The 18,826-nt window shown below is 38.3% G+C and overlaps 1 pseudogene; it reads left to right on the forward strand.

The window, feature by feature from the left end:
• On the forward strand, positions 11,841 to 12,347 carry WBP1LP10 (WBP1L pseudogene 10; annotated as a pseudogene).

The raw sequence follows: 18,826 nt of genomic DNA on the forward strand, positions 1-18,826 counted from the left end.
CATGTTTATTGATTTGTCTATTTTGAACCATTCAAGCACCCCTGGAATAAAGCCCACTTGATCATGATGAATTATCTTTTTGATGTGTTGTTAGCTTCAGTTTGCTAGAATTTTGTTGAGTATTTTTACATCTGTGTTGATCAGGGATAAGGATTTGTAGTTTTCTTTTGTGTTCTTTTTAAAATTTTCCTTGTTAATTTTACTGCACAGTATTATTTTAATGATGAATAAAGTGTTGAGCTGGACATGTGTACCTTGTTCCTCGTGTTAGAATGAAACTGTTTAATATGTCATGATTATTTATAATGTTGAGAGTAGTTTTTGTGTATATATTAAGATATTTACATCAGTTCTCTTCTATTCCTAGTTTGTTATTATTACAAATAGTTTCAAATGTGAACAAGTGCTTTTCCCACAGCTATTGAAATAACCATATTTTTTTCTTTTATTCAGTTAATGTGGTTAATTTCATTGTTTGGTTTTCTAATTTTAAACCATACATTCTTGAAATTACTGCACTTAGTCACGATGTATTTTTCTTTGGAGTATATTGTTGGATTATATTTGCAAACATTTTTGTTTAGAATTATTATGTAGTATATTAGTCTGTAATTTCATTTCTTTTAATATCCTTGTATGGTTTTACTATCATGGAGGTACCACCATATAAAACAAGTTGGAAAGTGTTATGTCTTCCCAATTCTCTAAAAATATTCATGTAACATTGGCATTATTTCTTTATTAAATATTTGGTAATATTTCTTTATTAAATATTGCATCCACCTAGCCCTGGAGTTCTTTCTACAGGAAAAAAAAATTTTCTAAATAAAATTTCTACAATGAAAAAAAAACTACTCAGTTTTTCTAGTTTTTTTCTGATCATTTCATAAAAGTAGGTATTTTTCATAGGAACTTGACCATTCCTTATGATTGTCAAATTTATTAATATAAAGTTTCATATTTTATATTTATTTTATCAGATAAATAAAATTATATGTTTTGAAATATATATTCATTGTAAAATAGCCATGTTAAGCTAACATATGCATTACCTTACATGCTTATCTTTTTTTATGAGAACACTTAAAAATCTACTCTTAGCAATTTTGAAGAATACAAGTACATCCCCTATGGAGAACAGTTTGAAGGCTCCTCAAAAAAGTAAAAATAGAGCTACCATGTGGTCCAGCAATCCCACTGCTGCATATATACCCCCCAAAAAAGAAATCAGTATATCGAAGAGATATCTGCACTCCCGTATTTGTTGCAGCACTATTTTCAATAGCGAAGTTATGGAGTCAACCTAAGTGTCCATCAACAGATGAATGAATAAAGAAAATGTGGTACTTATATACAATGAAGTATTATTCAGCCATAAAAAGGAATGAGACCCTGTCATTTGCAACAACATAGATGAAACTGGAGGTCATTATGTTAAGTGAAATAAGCCAGGCACAAAAAGACAAATACTATGTGTTATCACTTATATGTGGAATCCAAAAAGCAAACAACTGAACTCATGGAGATAGAGAGTAGAAGGAAGTATACCAGAGGCTGTGAAGGGTAGTGGGGGTTGGGAGAGGTGGGGGATGGTTAATGGGTACAAAAAAAGAAAGATTTAATAAGACCTAGTATTTGATAGCACAACAGGGGGATTGCAGTCTAAAATTCAATTATACATTTAAAAATAACTGAAAGAGTATAATTGGATTGTTTATAACACAAATAATAAATGCTTGAGGGGATGAATATCCAATTTTCCATTATGTACTTATTGTACATTGCATGCCTGTACCAAAATATTTCATGTACCCCATAAATGTGTACACCTGCTATGTACCCACAAAAATTAAATTTAAAAACAATACATTGTTATCCACTATAGTCACCATATTGCACAATAGATCTGTTGAATTCATTCCTCCTGTACAATGCAATTTTGTACCCTTTGACCAACATCTACCCAATCCTCCTGGTAACCATCATTCTACTCTGTACTTCTATGTGTTCAGCCTTCTTAGACCTCCACATACAAGTGAGATTATGCAGTATCTGGCTTTCTGTGCCTGGATTATTTTACTCAGTATAATGTCCTCCCGGTTCATTCATGTTGTCACAAATGATACTTTTTTTATTTTTTAAGGTTGTATACTATTCTATTGTGTATGTGTGCCACATTTTCTTCATCCACTCATGTGTCGATGGATACTTAAGTTAATTCCACATCTTGGCTGTTGTGAATAATGCTACAATAAATATGGGAGTACAGATAACTCATTGACACACTGATTTGATATCTTTTTAATATATGCCCAGAAATAGCATTACTGAATCATATGGTAATTCTATTTTTACAGAATCATTTATACTGTCTTTTACAATGGCTGAAATAGTTTACATTCTCAACAATTACAAGGTTTTCCTTTTCTCCACATCCTCTCCAACACTTGGTATCTTCTGCCTTTTCTGTAACAGCCATTCTAACGGATGTGAAATGGCATTTTATTGTAGTTTTAATATGCATTTCTCTGATGATCAGTGATAATTAGCATTTTTATATATCTGTTGGCCATTTGTATGTCTTCTTTTGAGAAATGTCTATTTAGATCCTTTGTCAATTTTTCATTAGGGATCCTTGTTTTCTTATTATTGTGTTGTTTGAGTTCCTAAGATATTTTGGACATTAGCCTCTTATCAAATGTATAGTTTGCAGATAATTTCTCCCATTTTGTAGGTTATCACTTCACTCTGTTGACTTTCTTTTGCTGTGCAGAAGCTTTTTAGGTTGATGCTATTCCATTTGTGTTTTGTTGCTTTTCTTGCCTGTGCTTTAGAGTCATATCATAAAATATTATTGCCCAGACCAATGTCTTGGAGTTATTCCCCTGTTTTCTTCTAGGAGTTCTATAGTGCTAGGTCTTACATTTAAGTCTAACTTATTTTGAATTTATATTTTTATATGGTATGAAATAAGGGCCTAAGATCAATCTTGTGGACATTCAGTTTTCTCAACACCATTTTTTGAAGAGACTGTTCTTTCCCCATGTGTGTTCCTGGCACCTTTGTTGAAAGTCAGTTGACTATAATATGTAGATTTATTTATGGGCTCTTTATTCTGTGTAATTGGTCTATGTGTCTGCGTTTATGCCAGTACCATGGTGTTTCGATTGCTATAGCTATGTAGTATAATTTGAAGTCAGGTAATGTGATATCTCCTGCCTTGCTTTTTTCGATCAAGATTATTTTGGCTTTTCAGAGTTTTTTGTGATTCCATACAGATTTGAGAGTTGTTTTTCTATTTCTGTGGGAAAATGTCATAGGAATTTTGATAGAGATTGCATTCAATATGTACATCACTTTGGATAGTATGGACATTTCAAACATATTACTTTTTCCAATCCATGAACATGAGATATCTTTCCATTTATTTGTGGCTTCTTCAATTGTTTTCATCAATGTTTTGTAGTTTTCAGTGTAAAGATCATTCACCTCTTTGTTTAAATTTACATCTAAGTATTTTTTGTTGCTATTATAAATAGGATTGTTTTCTTGATTTCTTTTTTTGTATAGTTTGTTGTTGATGTGTAGAAATGCTACCGAATTTTGTATGTTCACATTGTATCCTGCAACTTTACTAAATTCATTTATGAATTCTAAATTTTTTGGCAGAGTTATTGGTGTTTTCTATATATAAGATCATGTCAACTGCAAACAGAAACAATTTAACTTCTTCCTTTCCAATTTTCATGCCTTTTATTTCTTTCTTTTGCCTAATTGCTCTGGCTAGGACATCCAGTACTATGTTGAATAGAAGTTCTGAGAGTGGGCACCCTTGTATGAAGTTTTCCACAACATCTCTTATCTTTTTATTAGCTATATATTAATACGGATGTTTCTTCTTCATCAGGAGTTTGAAAAATATGTCTTTTCTCTATATTGTTCTTAATCAGTCTTCCTAGAAGTATTTCAATTTCAAAAAGTAGCAACAACTGTGGGAGTTCAGTCAGGCTGGTGGGAAAAATTTTAAAGATAGTTATAAGAAATCGACACAAACCTTCATGGAAGGCTGGGGGTGTTGTATAGCTTCAGTAATAGATCTGAATGAAGGCGGCCTAATCCTTCCTTGAGTAAATAGCTTAAAGTAGGTGCAAAGGAATGTAAGGGAGTTTATCTAAATAACTTGTTTACTCATGTGGTCCTGAAGCCAACCTTTGATCATTCACAGGCAGGATGGCTCTCTCTCGGGGGAGGGTGACCAGGTTAATTACCCTCTATTTGTGTTGACTAAAAGCCCCTGTCATTTAATGTTTTTTCAATAAATGCTGGCAGGGCTAGCTAGTCAGGGCTCGTGGCTGCCAGAACTCTTTCTGTGCATGGCCCAGCCCCCTAGCGGCTCTTTCACTGAATAATTGGTGTCTGAGTACATTATTCATCCCTCGTGCAGCTGGGGTCTGCAGGACAGACCCCCACAAACAACAATTTGCAAAAGCAAACTTCCCTGTTTTGTTTTTTTCCCAAGATGATAAATTAGAGGCTTTTAGTGTGCCTCGGCCACTTAGAAATAGCAAGAGAGTGCACAAAGGTCAACTCTGTGAGCTCTAAGTCAAGAAGGAAAATGGGAATCCACCAGAATCATGAAGGACATCATAGATCCCAAGAAGGAGAATGTGAGCAAACAGTCAACATGACAGCAACCAGCTTATAAAAGTGAGCGAAGTCCTAGTATGTGAGAGAGGCAGAGAGCCTCCCTCTGTAACTGACATTTTCACTGTGAATCTGAGCAACCCCAGCCAAGTTGTTGCATTTTGTTTCTCCCAAGGCCTGGAGTCAACATGGGGAGAGGCTTGGAGATGCTGTGAAGCAAAGACACTGGGAACAGCTGCAGACATTTTCCCAGACCAGGAAGTAAGAGCAAGATGCCATTTTCAATCTGGATGCATGCAAAGTCAGCTTTTTTTTTTCTTTTTGTGACCCAGCAGAATGCCTGCACAGGCATTTTAGTCTCAGGCCAAAGATTGGAACAACTGCTTTGGGGCTTGGTAGGGACCTTCACAGCCATATTGTGGAAAACACCTCAGCAGTATGTGCTGGAATTGTGCTTTCCCCCATCGCAGCCTCGGGGCAACAGAAAAGCTGCTACAGCTGTAATTTCTCCCAGGTGATGAAACTTGCAGCCAGGGCCAGCTTGGAGACCTACAACCAGTCTGCAGGTGTCATTGCTGGGTGCCCCAGCCTGTTCCCCTGAGAATGTGATACAGCAGGGCTTTCTCTGCTTCACCCCCAGGCAGAAATTCAGGCATTGGAGCACCTGTCTACCTGGACCAGCATCCTGAGCTACCCCACCGTTTATAAACATAGGTTGTGGTGCAGTGGGGCCCTCTCCAGTCTATGGCCAGGCAGATTTCCAGGTATGTGGAGTACCCACTTGACTGGATCAGCAGCCTGAGCTTCCCCAACCTTCCTGTGCTGAGATTATAGTGCAGTGAGGCCCTCTCATCTCCACACATAGGCAGACCTCCAAGCAATTAGAGCACCTGCTCCTATGGAGAACTTAAATTTACAAGAAAAAAAAAAAACCATCAAAAATTGGCCAAAGGACATGAACAGACAATTCTCAAAAGAAGACATGGATGTGGCCAACAAACATATGAAAAAAAGCTCAAATCACTGATCATTAGAGAAATGCAACTCAAAACCACAATGAGATACTATCTCAAACCAGTCTTAATGGTGATTATCAAAAACTCCAGAAACAACAGTTGCTGGTAAGGCTGTGGAGAAATAGGAATGTTTTTACACTGTTTGTGGGAATGTAAATTAGTTCATTCACTGTGGAAGGCAGTGTGAAAATTCCTCAAAGATCTAGAACCAGAAATGCCATTTGCCCCAGCAATCCCTTTACTGGATATATGCCCAAAGGAATATAAATCATTCTATTATAAAGATACATGCACAGGGCTGGGTGCAGTGGCTCACACCTGTAATCCCAGCACTTTGGGAGGCCAAGGCGGGTGGATCACCTGAGGACAGGAGTTTGAGACCAGCCTAGCCAACATGGGGAAACTCCATCTCTACTAAAAATACAAAAATTAGCCAGGTATAGTGGTGCACACCTGTAATACCAGCTACTTTGGAGGCTGAGGCAGGAGAATCGCTGGAACCCAGGAGGCAGAGGTCAAAGTGAGCCAAGATCATACCATTGCACTCCAGCCTGGGCAACAAGAGCAAAACTCCATCTTAAAAAAATATATATATATACATATACATACATATATATACACATATATATACATATATACAGATATTATATATGTAAATGTATATATATGTGTATATATATACACATATATATACATATTATAACTACATATATATACACACACACATACATATACATGCACACATATGTTTATTGCAGCACTATTTACGATAGAAAATACATGGAATCCTCCCAAATGCCCATCAATGATATATTGGATAAAGAAAATGTGATATATATTCACCATGGAATACTATGCAGCCGTTAAAATAAATGAGATCATGTTCTTTGCAGGGACATGGATGAAGCTGGAAGCCATCACCCTCAGCAAACTAACACAGGAAAAGAAAACCAAACACCACATGTTCTCAGTCGTAAGAGGGAGTTGAACAATGAGAGCAAACACATGGATACATGGAGGGGAACAACACACACCAGGGCCTCTCAGCGGGACAGGGGTAGGAGACCATCAGGACAAACACGTGGATACATGGAGGGGAACAACACACACCAGGGCCTCTCAGGGGGACAGGGGGTAGGAGACCATCAAGACAAACACGTGGATACATGGAGGGGAACAACACACACCAGGGCCTCTCAGGGGGACAGGGGGTAGGAGACCATCAGGACAAACACGTGGATACATGGAGGGGAATAACACACACCAGGGCCTCTCAGGGGGACAGGGGGTAGGAGACCATCAAGACAAACACGTGGATACATGGAGGGGAACAACACACACCAGGGCCTCTCAGGGGGACGGGGGGTAGAAGACCATCAGGACAAATAGCTAATGCATGCAGGGCCTCATACCTAGGTGATGGGTTGATGGGTGCAGCAAACCACCATGGCACACATTTACCTATGTATCAAACCTATACTTTCTGCACGTGTATCCCAGAACATAAAATAAAATTTAAAAAATATATACACTGATTCATGATCTCCTTTCTCTCCTTCTGAAACACTCTTTAAAACTTTTTAGCATTTCCCCCTCTGTCTTCCATGTCTCCTAACTACATGTTTCTTATTTTCCATGTCTTTATTCCTGTGTTCATTTTGGATAGCCCCTTCTGACCTATATTACAGTTTACTAGTTCACTCTTCAACTGCTTCTAACATACTAATATTCTGTTAAAACCATTCATTTGGGTTTAAATTTCAATTATGTTATTCTCTATGGACATTCTATTTGTTTTCTTTTAATCTTCTTGGCCATTCTCTAGAGTTTCCTGTTCCATTATGATATTTTTAATTTTTTGTTTTACTTTAAACATACTAAATATAGTTATTTTATTTTATTTTCTGTATCTGATACTTTCAATAACTGCAGTCTTTGCTAGTCTTTTTTCTGTGCTCTTGCTCATAGTTTTTTTCATTTGTTTTCATGATTAGAAAAACAGAGAGAGAAGAAGGAGAGTAAAGGGAGGAGGCGGAGGAGGAGAAAAGAAGAAAGCAGAGAAGAAGGGACAGAGAAAAAAAGGAAGTTGGTTCTAACGTTTCTCTAACAACTGGCTTCAGTGAAACACTCCCACCTTGTGGATTTTTAGGTTATTGAAATTAACCAGTCTTCTGGGTGCAGCACACCAACATGGCACATGTATACATATGTAACAAACCTGCACTTTGTGCACATGTACCCTAAAACTTAAAGTATAATAAAAAATAAAATAAAAAGCTACACAAATTTAAAAAAAAAGAAATCAACCTAATTCCTAGATTACCACCTCTTGATTCAAATGCTTTAAATCTAGGCTTTTCATCTGAGTCTTTCTTTTTAGTTATTCTGTTTATCTTCAAAACACTCCTGCTTTGAATCATTCAAAATCTACCTCCCTCCCTCTGTTTGACTACCATCAATTTTTTTGCTCATTCCTAATGCATTAATCTATTAGCTGTGAATATCCAAAAACCCTCATTTCACTGAATCTTTGACAGACCCCTTTGCATCCTCTTGTTCTTCTAATTATTTCCTCAGAAACTTTATGTTCTCTTTTCTTTACAAGCATGTCATAGTTTATATATAATGTGTGTATTGTTTTTATATATACCTATATATAGCCTCTTTTTAAAAGCACTATACACCATGCTTTGAAATATATTCTAAAATCAGGTAGCATGAAAATGGAAACATAACATACTAAAACATATGGGATGCAACAAAAGCAGTTATAAGAGGGACATTTATAGCAATAAATGCCTACATCAAAAAAGAAAAAAAAGATCTCAAATAAGCAACCTAATATTATGCCTAAAGGAGCGAGAAAATTAGAGAACAATACAAGCCCAAAGATAGCAGAAGGAAACAAATAACAAAGATCAGAGCAGAAATAATATAATAGAAACTGAAAATTTCAATAAAAATAAGAATTGTTTTTTGAAAAGATAAACAAAATTAACAAATTCTTACATAGACTAAGAAAAAAGAAAACAAACTCAGAAGTGAAAGAAGAGACATTACAACTGATACCACAGAAGTTAAAAAATCATAACATACTACTATAAACAATTATTCACCAGCAAATTAGATAACCTAGAAGAAATTGATAAACTCGTACCAAAACTGAATCATGAAGAATTCAAAATTTAGAAGAAATCATGAATAAGGAAATTAAATCACCAATGAAAGGTCTCTCATAAAAGAAAGACCAAGGATTGAATGGCTTGGTGGCTGAATTCCAACAAACACTTAGATGACTAACACCAATCCTTCCCAAACTCTTCCAAAAAAAATGAAGAAGAGGAATACTTTCAAATTCATTTTTCAAAACCAGCATTACCCTGATACCAAAACCAGAGAAGGACACTATAATAAAAATAAATTGCAGACCAATACTCCTGATGAACTTGGATGGAAAAACCTTCAGCCAAATATTAGCAAATATTATTTTAAAAAAAAAACAGCAAAAAAATTCACCATGCTTAAGTGGGATTCATCCCTGGGAAGCTTATTAGTCTTATTTGATTCGTGTAATCAGAAAATTTCTATGTCTAGTGAAGAGAAATGAGAGCAATAGAGACTCATAGCACCTCAACAAATGTCCAGGCTTGAGCCAGTTAACAAATACAAGTCCTTCAAATACAAAAAAGACTGTGAAAGAAAATAGAACAGATCAATGAGACTAAGAATTTGTTCTTTGAAAAGATAAAACTGACAAACCATTAGCTAGACTAGAAAAATGAGAGAATACTCAAAGCAATAAAATCAGAAATGAAAGAGGAAATATTGCAACTAATACCACAGAAATACAGAGGATCATAAGAGGCCACTATAAACAATTACAAGCCAACAAATTGGATAACCTAGAAAAAGCAGATAAATTTCTAGAAAAATGCAACTTACCTAGAGAAAGTCAAGAAGAAAGATAAAATCTGAACAGAACAATACTGAGTATGGAGAGTATATCAATAATAAAACATCTCCCATCAAAGAACATCCCAGGACCAGAAAACTTCATTGCTGAATTCTAACATTTTAAAAAATAATAATACAATCCTTCTGAAATTCTTCCAAAAACTTGAAGGAGAAAGAGTATTTCCAAACTCATTTTAAAAGATCAGCATTATTGTTTTTTTTTAAAGTGATGTTCCCCTTCCTGTGTCCATGTGTTCTCATTGTCCAATTCCCACCTATGAGTGAGAACATGCGGTGTTTGGTTTTTTGTCCTTGTGATTGTTTGCTGAGAATGATGGTTTCCAGCTTCACCCATGTCCCTACAAAGGACATGAACTCATCATTTTTTATGGCTGCATAGTATTCCATGGTGTATATGTGCCACATTTTCTTAATCCAGTCTATCATTGTTGGACATTTGGATTGGTTCCAAGTCTTTGCTATTGTGAATAGTGCCACAGTAAACATACGTGTGCATGTGTCTTTATAGCAGCATGATTTATAGTCCTTTGGGTATATACCCAGTAATGGGATGGCTGGGTCAAATGGTATTTCTAGTTCTAGATCCCTGCGGAATCGCCACACTGTCTTCCACAATGGTTGAACTAGTTTACAGTCCCACCAACAGTGTAAAAATGTTCCTATTTCTCCACATCCTCTCCAGCACCTGTTGTTTCCTGACTTTTTAATGATGGCCATTCTAACTGGTGTAAGATGGTATCTCATTGTGGTTTTGATTTGCATTTCTCTGATGGCCAGTGATAGTGAGCATTTTTTCATGTGTTTTTTGGCTGCATAAATGTCTTCTTTTGAGAAGTGTCTGTTCATATCCTTTGCCCACTTTTTGATGGGGTTGTTTGTTTTTTTCTTGTAAATTTGTTTGGGTTCATTGTAGATTCCGGATATTAGCACTGGGGCCTGTTGTGGGGTGGGGGGAGGGGGGAGGGATAGCATTAGGAGATATACCTAATGTTAAATGATGAGTTAATGGGTGCAGCACACCAGTATGGCACATGTATACATATGTAACTAACCTGTACGTTGTGCACATGTATCCTAAAACTTAAAGTATAATTTAAAAAATAAATAAATAAAAATAAAAATAAAAAGGCAAACAAGGACACTATAAGAAAAGTATGGGCCAACCAATATCCCTGATGAACACAGATACAAAAGTCCTCAAAAAAAAGTACTAGCAAGCAGAATTTAACAACATATTAGGAGAACATTTACCATGATAAAGTGGATTTATCCTCCAGATGTTTCAGCAAACACAAATCAAATGTGATAAACCACATTAACAGAATGAAGGATAAAAAAATAGCTATCTCTATATATGCAGAAAAAGCATTTGACTAAATTCAAAATCCTCTCATGACTAAACCTCTCAACAAATTGGGCATAGAAGGCATGTACCTTAACACAAAACAGGACATATATAACAAGCTCACAGCTCACATCATACCCAACAATGAAAAAGTGAAATCTTTTCTGCTAAGATCAAAAACAAGACAAGGATATTTATTCTCACTACTTCTATTCAACTTATTTCTGGAAGTCCTAGCCAGAGCAATTAAGCCAAATAAAGAAATAAAAGATTCAAATTGAAAAGGAAGAAGTAAAATTGTCTCTGTTTGATGACATATTATATATAGGAAACCCTAAAAACTCCACCAAAAAGCTATTAGAAATGATAAATGAATTCAATAAAATTTCAGAATTCAAAATCAATGTACAAAACTCAGTAGTTTCTTTACACTCACAACAAACTATATGACAAAAATAAAGAAATCAATCTCATTCACAGTAGCATCAAAAAAAACGTATTTTTTTTGTTTAGGAGCACATTTAGGATTGTACTTAGGAGTACATTTAACCAAGGAGGTGAAAGATCTGTATTCTGAACACTATAAAACATTGATGAAAAATTGTAGATGACACAAATACATGGAAAGATATTTTATGTTCATGGGTAGGAAGAATTAATATTCTTAAAATGTCCTTACTGCCCAAAGCGATTTATAGGTTTAATGCAATATTTATCAAAATTTCAATGTCATTCTTCACAGAAATAGAAAAAACAATTTGAAAATTTATATGGAACCACAAAGGATCCTGAATAACTAAAGGACTCTTGAGCAATAAGAACAAAGCTGAAGGCCTCACAATCTGACTTCAAAACATATTACAGGAAAAGAACAAAAGAAGGAAGAAGAGGGTAGAGGAGAAGTGCAGCAAGGGTGGAGGGAGGTGCCCACGCTGGGTCGGAGGAGCAGGAGGAGTATGGAGGGAAGACTCCTGGGTGGCATGGAGCTCTTGCACCTCTAGGCACTGCCCAGCCCTGTGTCAGCCAGGGCTGAACCCCCACAGGATAAGGAAGCCTGTGTGTGTACCAACAATCAAAGCTACATCTGTGACACAACAGGACACTGCTATGGGCAGTCTCAGTGTTGTAACTACTACTATGAACATTGGTGGTTCTGGCTGGCGTGGACCATCACCATCATCCTGAGCTGCTGCTGTGTCTGCCACCACAGCCAAGCCAGCCCTCAAGTCCAGCAGTAGCAACATGAAATCAACCTGACTGCCTATCCAGAAGCCCGCAATTACTCAGTGCTACCATTTTATTTCACCAAACTATTTATTACCTTCTTATGAGGAAGTGGTGAACTAACCTCCACCTGTTTCCCTCCCTGTCTGTCCATTGTGGATGAGCTCTGAGCCCTGTTTTCCTGTGAAGATTCTTTGAATTGCAGCCATTCTATTCACATGAACTCTCACATCTGGAGCACAGATGGCCCTCTCAAGGTAATTTATTGTATGCATTGACTGTTTACCAAACAAATGTCTTACTATGTACTCAGGTATATTCAGCAGCATTGTCGACTGCAGTCCCCTATGCTTGCCAGAAGATACTGTATTCAAAGTAGAAGTTTCACAGTGATGAGTAATCACTGCAATTTTCCCATTGCTCCATGGACTCTCGGAGGCCGGTGTTCTGTTCCCTGTAAATAGAGATGTACTCTGAACCTTTCTGCCTCCCTCAGCTGTTCCTAGTCCTTGGTATCAGCCCCTGGAGATGTCCACAACCACTTAGGACAAAAGGCAAAAGTGGAATTTCAGACAAAACTTTGATAGGATCTTCAGTGATAAACTTGGACTAACTGTGGCCCAGGTATCAGCACTCCCAAGAATTGCCAGGAGGAAGCTTTGGCAGACACCACAGGTATGGCAAGGCCTATCTCCCTCTGCTGAATCCAACAGGGGCAAGCAAGCTGGCATGTGGCTTGAGGTGACCCGAATATGTCAGCACCCCTCAGATGTCTTTCTTTGCACTTTTGAAAAAAATCTCAGAATTTGCTGGCAACATGGCCAAATAGGAACAGCTCCAGTCTGCAGCTCCCAGTGAGATCAATGCAGAATGCAGGTGATTTCTGCATTTCCAACTGAGGTACCTGGTTCATCTCACTGGGACTGGTTGGACAGTGGGTGCAGCCCACGGAGGGTGAGCCAAAGCAGAATGGGGTGTTGCCTCACCCAGGAAGTGCAAGGGGTTGGGGGAATTCCCTCCCCTAGCCAAGGGAAGCCCCGAGGGACTGTACCATGAGGAACGGTGCACTCCACCCAGAAACTATGCTTTTCTCATGGTCTTCACAATCCACAGACCAGGAGATTCCCTCCAGTGCCTCTGCCACCAAGGCCCTAGGTTTCAAGCACAAAACTAGGCAGCTGTTTGGGCAGACACCGAGCTAGCTGCAGGAGGTTTTTTTTTTTTCATGCCACAGTGGCAACTGGAATGCCAACAAGACAGAACCATTCTCTCTCCTGGAAAGGGGGCTGAAGCCAGGGAGCCAAGTGGTCTGGCTCGGCGGGTCCCACCCCTACAGAGCCCAGCAAGCTAAGATCCACTGGCTTGAAATTCTTGCACAGCAGTCTGAGGTTGACCTAGGACACTAGAGCTTGGTGGGGGGAGGGGCTTCCACATTGCCAAGGCTTGAGTAGGCAGTTTTACCCCCACTGTGTAAACAAAGCCACCAGAAAGTTTGAACTGGGTGGAGCCCACCACAACTCAGCAAGGCCACAGCAGCCAGACTGCCTCTCTAGATTTCTCCTCTCTGGGCAAGGCATCTCTGAAAAAAGGGCAGCAGCCCCAGTCAGAGACCTATAGATAAAACCCCCATCTCCCTGGAACAGAGCACCTAGGGGAAAGGGCGGCTGTGGGCACAGCTTCAGCAGACTTAAAGCATCTTTGAAAAGCCTGATGGCTCTGAAGAGAGCAGCAGATCTCCCTGCACAGTATTCGAGCTCTGATAAGGGTCAGACTGCCTCCTCAAGTGGGTCCCTGACCCCCGTGTATCCTGACTGGGAGACACCTCCCAGTAGGTGCCAACAGGCACCTCATACAGGAGAGCTCTGGCTGGCATCTGGTGGGTGCCCCTCTGGGACAAAACTTCCAGAGGAAGAAACAGGCAGCAATCTTGGCTGTTCTCCAGCCTCTGCTGGTGATACCCAGGCAAACAGGGTCTAGAGTAGACCTAGGGCAAACCCCAACAGACCTGCAGCAGAGGGGCCTGACTGTTAGAAGGAAAACTAACAAACAAAAAGGAATAGCATCAACATCAACAAAAAGGACAGCCACTCAGTGACCCCATCAGAAGGTCACCAACATCAGAAACCACAGGTAGATAAATCCATGAAGATGGAGAGAAACCAGAGCAAAAAGGCTGAAAATTCCAAAAACCAGAACGCCTCTTCTCCTCCAAAGGATCACAACTCCTCACCAGCAAGGGAACAAAAGAAAACTGGACAGAGAATGAGTTTGACGAATTGAGAGAAGTAGGTTTCAGAAGGTAGGTAATAACAAACTCCTCCAAGCTAAAGGAGCATGTCCTAACCCAATGTAAGGAAGCTAAGGACCTGGAAAAAAGGCTAGACCACTTGCTAACTAGAATAACCAGTTTAGAGAAGAACATAAATGACCTGATGGAGCTGAAAAACACGCCATGAGAACTTCATGCAGCATGCACAAGGATCAAGCACTGATTCGGTCAAGCGGAAGAAAGATATCAGAGACTGAATATCAACTTAATGAAATAAATCAAGAAGACAAGATTAGAGAAAAAAGAATGAAAAGAAATGAACAAAGCCTCCAAGAAATATGGGACTATGTGAAACGACCAAATCTACGTTTGATTGCTGTACCTGAAAGTGATGGGGAGAATGGAACCAAGTTAGAAAACACTCTTCGGGATATTATCCAGGAGAACTTCCCTAACCTAGCAAGGCAGGCCAATATTCAAATTCAGAAATATGGAGAACATCACAAAGACACTCCTCAAGAAAAGCAACCCCAAGACACATAGTCATCAGATTGAGCAAGGTTGAAATGAAGGAAAAAATGTTAAGGGCAGCCAGAGAGAAAGGTCAGGTTACCCACAAAGGGAAGCCCATCAGACTAACAGCAGATCTATCAGCAGAAACTCTACAAGCCAGAAGAGAATGGGGGCCAATATTCAACATTCTTAAAGAAAAGAATTTTCCACCCAGGATTTCATATCCAGCCAAACTAAGCTTCATAAGTGAAGGAGAAATAAAATCCTTTACAGACAAGCAAATGCTGAGAGATTTTGTCACCACCAGGCCTGCCTTAAAGGAGCTCCTGAAGGAAGCACTAAACATGGAAAGGAACAACTGGTATCAGCCACTGCAAAAACATACCAAATTGTAAAGACCGTTGACACTATGAAGAAACTGCATTAACTAACAGCAAAATAACCAGCTAGCATCGTAATGACAGGATCAAATTCACACATAACAATATCAACCTTAAATGTAAATGGGCTAAATGCTCCAATTAAAAAACACAGACTGGCAAATTGGCTAAAGAGTCAAGACCCATCAGTGTTCTGTATTCAGGAGACCCATCTCACGTGCAAAGACACAAATAGGCTCAAAATAAAGGGATGGAGGAATACTTACCAAGCAAATGGAAGGCAAAAAAAAGCAGGGGTTGCAATCCTAGTCTCTGATAAAACAGACTTTAAACCAACAAAGATCAAAAGAGACAAATAAGGGCATTGCATAATGGTAAAAGGATCAATGCAACAAGAAGAGCTAATTATCCTAAATATATATGCACCCAACACAGGAGCACCCAGATGCATAAAGTAAGCTCTTAGAGACTTAAAAAGAGACTTAGACCCTCACACAATAATAGTGGGAGACTTTAACACCCCACTGTCAATACTAGACAGATCAACGAAACAGAAAGTTAACAAGGATATCCAGGACTTGAACTCAGCTCTGGACCAAGTGGATCCAATAGGCAGCTACAGAACTCTCCACCCCAAATCAACGGAATATACATTCTTCTCAGCACCACATTGCACTTATTCTAAAATTGACCACATATTTGGAAGTAAAACACTCCTCAGCAAATGCAAAAAAAAATGGGAATCATAACAGTCTCTCAGATCGCAGTGCAATTAAATTAGAACTCAGGATTAAGAAACTGACTCAAACCCACACAACTACATGTAAACTGAACAACCTGCTCCTGAACAACTACTGGGTAAATAAAGATATTAAGGCAGAAATAAATAAGTTATTTGAAACCAATGAGAACAAAGACATAACATACCAGAATCTCTGGTACACAATTATAGCAGTGTGTAGAGGGAAATTTATAGCACTAAATGCCCACAAGAGAAAGCAGGAAAGATCTAAAATTGACACCCTAACATCTCAATTAAAAGAACTCAAGAGGCAGGAGCATACAAAAAGCTAGCAGAGGACAATAAATAACTAAGATCAGAGCAGAACTGAAGGAGATAGAGACACAAAAAAACCTTCAAAAAAAAATCAATGAATCCAGGAGCTGGTTTTTTGAAAATATCAATAAAATAGATAGACCACTAGCCAGACTCATAAAGAAGAAAACAGAGAAGAATCAAACAGATGCAATAAAAAATGATAAAGGAGATACCACCACTGATCCCACAGAAATACAAACTACTATCAGAGAATACTATAAACACCTCTACACAAACTAGAAAATCTAGAAGAAATGGACAAATTCCTGGACACATACGCCCTCCCAAGACTAAACCAGGAAGAAGTTGAATCCCTGAATAGACCAATAACAAGGTCTGAAATTGTGGCAGTAATTAATAGCCTACCAACCAAAAAACAGTCCAGGACCAGATGGATTCACAGCCGAATTCTACCAGAGGTACAAAGAGGAGTTGGTACCATTCCTTCTGAAACTATTCCAAACAACAGAAAAAGAGAGAATCCTCCCTAACTCATTTTATGAGGCCAGAATAATTCTGGTACCAAAATTTGGCAGAGACACACACAAAAAAAAGAAAATTTCAAGCCAATATCCCTGATGAACATCGATGCAAAAATCCTCAATAAAATACTGGCAAACCAAATCCAGCAGCACATCAAAAGCTTGTCCACCACAATCAAGTCGGCTTCATCCCTGGGATACAAGGCTAGTTCAACATACGCAAATCAATAAACATAATTCATCATATAAATAGAACCAATGGCAAAAACCACATGCTTCTCTCAATAGATGCAGAAAAGGCCTTCGACAAAATTCAGCAGCCCTTCATGCTAAAAACTCTCAATAAACTAGGTACTGATGGAACATATCTCAAAATAATAATACCTATTTATGAAAAACCCACAGCCAATACTGAATGGTGAAAAACTGGAAGCATTCCCTTTGAAAACCAGCACAAGACAAGGATGCCCTATCTCACCACTCCTATTCAACGTAGTATTGGAAGTTCTGGCCAGGGCAATCAGGCAAGAGAAAGAAATTGTCTCTGTTTGCAGATGACATGATTGTGTATTTAGAAAACCCCATGGTCTCAGCCCAAAATCTTCTTAAGCTAATAAGCAACTTCAGAAAAGTCTCAGGATACAAAATCAATGTGCAAAAATCAAGCATTCCTATATGCAAAAAACAGACAAACAGAGAGCCAAATCATGAGTGAACTCTCCCATTCACAATTGCTACTATGAGAATAAAATACCTAGGAATCCAACTTACAAGGGATGTGAAGGACCTCTTCAAGGAGAACTACAAACCACTGCTCAAGGAAATAAGAGAGGACACAAACAAATGGAAAAACATTCCATGCTCATGGATAGGAAGAATCAATATCATGAAAATGGACATACTGCCCAAAGTTTTTATAGACTCAATGCTATCCCCATCAAGCTACCACTGACTTTGTTCACAGAATTGGAAAAAACTACTTTAAATTTCATATGGAACCAAAAATGAGCCCGCAGAGCTAGGACAGTCCTAAGCAAGTAGAACAAATCTGGAGGCATCACGCTGTCTGACTTCAAACTATACTACAAGCCTTCAGTAACCAAAACAGCATGGTACTGGTACCAAAACAGATATGTAGACCAATGGAACAGAACAGAGGCCTCAGAAATAACGCCACACATCTACAACTATCTGATCTTTGACAAACCTGACAAAAACAAGCAATGGGGAAACGATTCCCTTTTTAATAAATGGTGTTGGGAAAACTGGCTAGCCATATGCAGAAAACTGAAACTGGATCCCTTCCTTACACCTTACACAAAAATTAGCTCACGATGTATTAAAGACTTAAACATAAGATCTAAAACCATAAAAAACCCTAGAAGAAAACCTAGGCAATACCATTCAGTACATAGGCATGGACAAAAACTTCATGACTAAAACACCAAAAGCAATTGCAACAAAAACCAAAATAGACAAATGGGATCTAATTAAACTAAAGAGCTTCTGCACAGCAAAAGAAACTGTCATCAGAGTGAACAGGCAACCTACAGAATGGGTGAAAATTTTTGCAATCTATCCATCTGACAAAGGGCTAATATCCAGAATCTACAAAGAACTTAAACAATTTACAAGAAAATAACAAACAAACCCATCAGTGGGTGAAGGATATGAACTGACATTTCTCTAAAGAAGACATTTATGCAGCCAACAAACATATGAAAAAAAGCTCATCATCACTGGTCATCAGAGAAATGCATATCAATACCACAATGAGATACCATCTCACGCCAGATAGAATGGCGATCATTAAAAAGTCAGGAAACAACAGATGCTGGAAAGGATGTGGAGAAATAAGAATGCTTTTACACTGTTGGTG

This window comes from Homo sapiens, chromosome 11 (assembly GCF_000001405.40).
Source record: "Homo sapiens chromosome 11, GRCh38.p14 Primary Assembly".
NCBI lineage: Eukaryota > Metazoa > Chordata > Mammalia > Primates > Hominidae > Homo > Homo sapiens.